The sequence below is a fragment of the Homo sapiens genome, chromosome 17, assembly GCF_000001405.40.
Source record: "Homo sapiens chromosome 17, GRCh38.p14 Primary Assembly".
Taxonomy (NCBI): Eukaryota; Metazoa; Chordata; class Mammalia; order Primates; family Hominidae; genus Homo; species Homo sapiens.
In genome coordinates, this window is record NC_000017.11 from 43,622,042 (window position 1) to 43,628,494 (window position 6,453).

A 6,453-nucleotide genomic window follows, 5' to 3' on the forward strand; every position below is an offset into this window, starting at 1 on the left:
GTCCCCAGAGCACATTAAGCACTGTCCTCTGCCAAGGTGCTCAGACTGCAGCTCCTGTCATGGGGACAAGGATATCTTCTTCCTGTTCCAGAGTCAGTGACCTTGTGGTGTGACAGATGCCACGGGGCCACATGTGTGCAGTGGAGTGGGAGCCCAGAGGAGGGGTACCAAGTGGTTCTGAAGGAGTCCTGTGTGAGCATCACCAGGAAGTGGGGGTTTCTGAAGTGACCCATCCGGTTTCCAGAATGAATTTGTCAGAGGTAAGGACCAGAGATGTCCAGAGTTTCCTGTGAGTCTGCACCCAGGCAGGTGAAGGTGGTAAAAAGATTCTGATCAGATGCTAGCAGCCTGGCTGGGCGCTGACCTGGAAAGCACTTTGTCAATCCTGTGGGCCATGGATGTGAGGGTGAGAGATTGCACCTGCTTGAGTCTCTGGCAGAAAGGCTGCCTTCCTCTATACTCTCAGGGGAGAGGGGCTAGCGTTTCTGAGGGCCACATAGAGCCAGACTGACCCTTCAGGGGCAATTCTCCTCCTTCTTTTTATTATGAAAAATGTCAAATGTACAGAAAAGCAGAAAGATGAGTACGCCATATACCCACAACTTAGACCCAACAAGAGGCGACATTTTGCCATTCACTTCTCTCTCTCTGTCTTTAAAATCATGTATTAAGCTGGGCACAGTGGCTCATGCCTATAATCCCAGCACTTTGGGAGGCTGAGGTGGGCGTATCACTTGAGCTCAGGAGTTTGAGAACAGCCTGGCCAACATGGCAAAACCCTGACCCTACTAAAAATACAAAAATTAGCCGGGCATGGTGGCTCACGCCTGTAATCCCAGCTACTTGGGAGACTGAGGCAGGAAAATTGCTTGAACCCAGGAGGTGGAGATTGCAGTGAGCTGAGATCATGCTACTACACTCCAGCCTGGGTGACAGAGTGAGACTCTGTCTCAAAATAAATAAATAAAATAAAATAAAACAATATATTAAAGTTGGTTCTCTTTTCTTTTGGCATACAGTTCTATGAATTTTAACTCATGTATTGATTTGCAGAACCACACCATAATCAGGATTCAGAACAGTTCCATCGCTGCCCAAACAACTCCCTGGTGCTACCTCTTTATAGACATGCCCTGCTCTCATTGGTCACTCCTGGCAGCCACTGATCTGTTCACCATCCCTACAGTTCCCCACTCACACCCCTTTTTTTGATACAGGGTCTCATTCTGTCACCCAGACTGGAGTGTAGTGGCACAATCATGGCTCGCTGCAGCCTCGACTATCATGGCTCACCACAGCCTCGACTTCCCCATCTCAGGTGATCCTCTCACCTCAGCCTCCCAATTAGCTGGGATTACAGGTGCACACCACCATGCCCCACCAATTTTTTTGTAGAGATGAGGTTTCACCATTTTCCCCAGGCTGGTCTCAAACTTCTTGGCTCAAGCGATCCACTACCTTGGCTTCCCACAGTCTTGGGATTACAGGCGTGAGCCACCGTGCCCAGCCAGTTTTCTCTTTTGGAGAGTGTCATATAAATGGAACCATACAGTATGTAAACTTTTAACATTGGCTCCTTTTACTCAGCATGATACCCTTGCCCTTTATCCAAGTGATTGTTTGGATCAATAGCCTTTTCCTTTTTGTTGCCAAGTATATTTCATTATATGGATGTACCACAGTTTCTTTGTTCATTCACCTCCTGAAGGACATTTGGGTTGTTTCCAGTTTTTGATAACTATGAATAGAGTTGTTATAAACATTTGTGTACAGGTTTTCACATGAACATAAGATTTCAGTTCTCTAGGTTAGAAACCCAAGCATGCAATTGCTGGTTCATATGGTGTGTGAGTGTTTATAAGAAATTGCCAAATCATTTCAACCATTTCAAAAAATTACAGACACCATGACATGTCCCTCCTAAATGTTTGGACATACATTTCCAAGCACGAGAATTTCTCTCCTCAAATCACAATGCTATTATCATAAGCTAACAAGGGTCTCTGAAACCTATTTAAAAACAAAAGGCCGGGTGTGGTGGCTTGGCTGGGTGCAGTGGCTCACGCCTGTAATCCCAGCACTTTGGGAGGCTGAGGTGGGTGGATCACCTGAGGTCAGGAGTTCGAGACCAGCCTGGCCAACACGGCGAAACCCCATCTCTACTAAAAATACAAAAATTAGCTGGGCATGGTGGCGCACACCTATAATCTGAGCTACTTAGGAGGCTGAGGCAGGAGGCAGGAGAATTGCTTGAACCTGGGAGGCAGAGGTTGCAGTGAGCTGAGATTGCACCATTGTACTCCAGCCTGGGCAACAAGAGCAAAATTCGGTCAAAAAAAAAAAACAAAAAAAAACCATGGAATTATAATTTAGCAAAGTTTCAGGGTACAATATCAGGAAAAATCAGTTGTGTTTCTATACTCCAGCAATGGGTAGTCATAAATTTAACCCAGGAGATGAAAAACATGTACATTGAAAACTGCAGTACATTGCTGAAAGAAATTAAAGACGTAATTAAATGGAAAGACATCTCATGTTCATGGATTGGGAGACTTAATATTAACTTAATATTGTTAAGACGGCAATACTTCTCAAAATGATCTACTAACTCATGATGATTATTTTTAGTTGTCAACTTGACTGGATTAAAGGACACCCAGATAGCTCATAAAGCATTATTTCTGGGCATGTTTGTGTTGGTGTCTCTGCAAGAGAATGGCATTTGAATTAAGTGGATTGAGTAAGCAACATCTGCCCTCACCTAATGTGGGTAGGCACTATCCAATTGGCTAATGACCCAGATAGAACAAAAAAGCAAAGGAAAGGTGAATTAGCTTTCTCTCTTCTGGAGCTGGGACACCCTTTTTCTCCTGCCCTTGGACATCAGAACTCCAGATTCTTAGGCTTTTTGGCTTTCCTGGTTCTGAGGCCTTCAGACTTGGACTCAGTCATGCTACTGAGCTCCTTGGTTTTGCAGTTTGCAGATGGCGTATTCTCAGCCTCTGTTAACTATATGAGCCACTTCTCCTAATAAATCCCCTTTCATCCATATCGCACTCTCTCTCTCTCTTCTATTTATTATCTATCTCTGGAGAACCTGAGTAATACAAGATTCATTGTAGTCTCTATCAATATTCCAATTTTTTTTTGTAGAAATGCAAAATTCCATTCTCAAATTCATATGGAATTGCAATGGGCCTGAATAGTCAAAACAATATTGAAAAAGAGAAAGTTAAAAGACTTACACTTGGCCGAGCACAGTGGCTCTCACCTGTAATCCCAGCACTTTGGGAGGCCAAAGCAGGTGGATTACCTGAGGTCAGGAGTTTGAGACAAGCCTGGCCAACATGGTGAAACCCCATCTGTACTAAAAATACAAAAATTAGCCGGACATGGTGGCACGCACCTGTAGTCCCAGCTACTCGGGAGGCTGAGGCAGGAGAATTGCTTGAACTTGGGAGGCGGAGGTTGCAGTGAGCTGAGATTGTGCCATTGCACTCCAGCCTGGGCAACAAGAGCAAAATTCTGTCTCAAAAAAAAAAAAAACACAACAACAACAACAACAACCCACAATGAAATACCACTTCACACCCACTAGGATGGCTATAATTTAAAACAATGGAAAATGGCAAAAGTTGGCAAGGCTAGGAAGAAATAAGAACATTCATATGTTGCAGGTAGGAATGTAAATGTAGCAGCTGCTTTGGAAAACATTTTGATGGTTCCTCAAAAAGTTAAACATAGACTTAGCATGTGACCCAACAATTCCTCTTCTAGGCATATACCCAAGAGAAATGAAAACATGCCCATACAGAAACTTGTACACAAATGCTTATAGCAGCATTATTCATATTAGACAAAAGGTGGAAACAACTCAAATGTGCATTAATGAATGAATAGATAAACAAACTGTGGTATACAAATGCAATGGAATATTATTTTGCCACAAAATGGAATGAAGTATCAGAACATGCTCAAATGGATGAACCTCAGAAACATGCTAAGCGAAAGAAGCCAAGTACAAAAGGTCACACATTTTATGATTCCTTTTATATGAATATTTAGAATAGGCAAATCTATAAAGATAAGAAACAGATTAGTGATTGCCAGAGGGTTGGGGAAGGGAGTATTGGGTGTGATTATTGAAATAGTATGGGATTTTTTTTTTTTGAAGTAGAGACAGGATCTCACTCTGTCACCTAGGCTGGAGTGCAGTGACGCAATCATAGCTCACTGCAGCCTCCACCTCCTGGGCTCAAGTGAACCTCCCACCTCAACCTCCAAAGAAGCCGAGACCACAGGTGCATGCCACCATGATCAGCTAATTTATTTTTATTTTTTATAGAGATGGGGGTCTCACTATGTTGCCTAGGTTGGTCTCAAACACATGGGCTCAAGTGATCCTCGTCCCTTGGCCTCCCAGAGTGTTGAGATTACAGGCTTGAGCCACTGTGCCCAGCCTTTTATTTTCTTGACTTTAACTTTTTCAAGAGACTGAGCCAGTCATTCTCTAGGAATTGTCTATTGTTTCCTCATCTTGTTTAGCTCGCTCCCCATTCTCTGCCCTTGTAAACTGGAAGTTAGAGCTAAAGACCTGAGTTAGGTTCCTTACCACTTTTGTCAAGCACACTTCTGGGCCATGTAGGGTACATAAGGAGGCAGATCACATGGCTACACTACCATTTGTGATGCTAAATTGATCACTGGATTAAGACTGGGAAAGCCAGATTTTTCCATGGGCAATGTACTTTTTTTTTTCTTTTTTTATTTTTTTTTTTGAGACGGAGTCTCACTCTGTCACCGAGGCTGGAGTGCAATGGTGTGGTCTTGGCTCACTGCAACCTCCGCCTCCCAGGTTCAAGCAATTCTCCTGCCTCAGCCTCCCAAGGAGCTGGGACTACAGATGCATGTCGCCACACCCGACTAATATTTGTATTTTTAGTGGAGACGGGGTTTCATTATGTTGGCCAGGCTGGTCTCAAACTCCTGACCTCGTGATCTGCCCACCTCAGCCTCCCAAAGTGCTGGGATTACAGGGCATGAGCCACCATGCCCAGCCAGCAATGTTCTTTTTTACCCTTTGCTGCTGACCAACCATCTAGGGTGAAACTGGCAGCATAGGCGAATATCTAGTTTCCCTGAAGAATCCTCTTTGAGTCTCCCCAACACCCCTGCCATGTAAATTATTATATCTCATTTTATGAATAAAGAAACTGGTTGGGCGCGGTGGCTCACGCCTGTAATCTCAGCACTTTGGGAGGCTGAGGCGGGTAGATCACCTGAGGCTAGGAGTTCAGGATCAGCTTGGGCAACATGGTGAAGCCCCATCTCTACTGAAAATACAAAAAATTAGCTGGGCATGGTGGCTCATGCCTGTAATCCCAGCTACTTAGGAGGCTGAAGCATGAGAATCACTTGAACCCGGGAGGCAGAGGTTGCAGTGAGCCAAGATCGTGTTACTGCATTCCAGCCTGGGTGACAGAGTGAGACCCTGTCTCAAAAGGGGGAAAAAAAAAAGAAAAAAAAGAGAAACTGAGTTTCAGGGAGACTCAATAATTTGCCCAATGCATGGAGAGATAATTTTGAGATTTTCACTTGTATTGGTTTCCTTCCCTTTATTCTGCCCTTTTGCACGTTGCCCAATGCCAGCAGACGGCCTGATGTACTTAGGTACCCTCACAGGGTGGACAGGTTCTACCTTCCCAAATGCAAGCAGCTCTGGCTGGCCCTGCCTATTAGCACGGTCCTGTGAAGGCTGAGGACACAGCTTGAGACCCTGAGGACAGTGGTAACTGGAGAGAAACGGGCACGATGGGAAGAATGCCCCCTGCCCCCTCCCCCCATCTCTCCTCCACCCTCCACTACCTAAGCCTGTTGTAAGCAAGAGGAGCAGACCAGATCTCCTGGAAAGGAGAAAAAAAAAAGAAAAAGGAAAAAAATTCTCCCATCTGTTGAGTATTAACCTCTGAACCATTTAACCAAACATTGGCTTCTCCTGTCATTTGATAAGGTGTATCCAGCAAAGGGAGATGAGAAAATTGGGAGGTTATTCTTTTAAATTACATCAGCAGGGGGTTTGTTCCTGCCGCAGAGCTCGGAGGGTCCCGTCTGGGACATCACATCACCACTAGCACACTCAAGGACAGGCTTGAGTGCTTCCCTCTGCCTGGGAGTTCAGGCATTCACAGGGATATTAAAAAAAAAAAAGAAGAAGAAGTAAGAGGGTTTTGAAAATAAAGTCCATGCACGGCAGGCTGTCTGCCCTGAGCCAGCACTGTAGCAAGGGGTGATTATGGAGGAAGGAATGGTTTGTGTCACCGTCACACGGAAATGTCCAACGGCTTTTCTGCAGAGACAACACCTCTCAGTCTTCCAGAGACTCTCTGCTCAGACTTCCGGAGCTGTCGGGGACCTCCAAGGCCACTCCGCCTGTCCCAGCCCCCCTTTGAGTTG

At 45.0% G+C, this 6,453-nt stretch overlaps 1 annotated feature.

Moving 5' to 3' along the window:
• Window positions 5,952-6,453: an enhancer, noted in NCBI's record as "H3K4me1 hESC enhancer chr17:41705361-41705862 (GRCh37/hg19 assembly coordinates)". NCBI's record gives its function as "activates a minimal SCP1, AML or CMV promoter by ChIP-STARR-seq in primed H9 embryonic stem cells {active_cell/tissue: H9 hESC(primed)}" and the evidence as "EXISTENCE:reporter gene assay evidence [ECO:0000049][PMID:30033119]".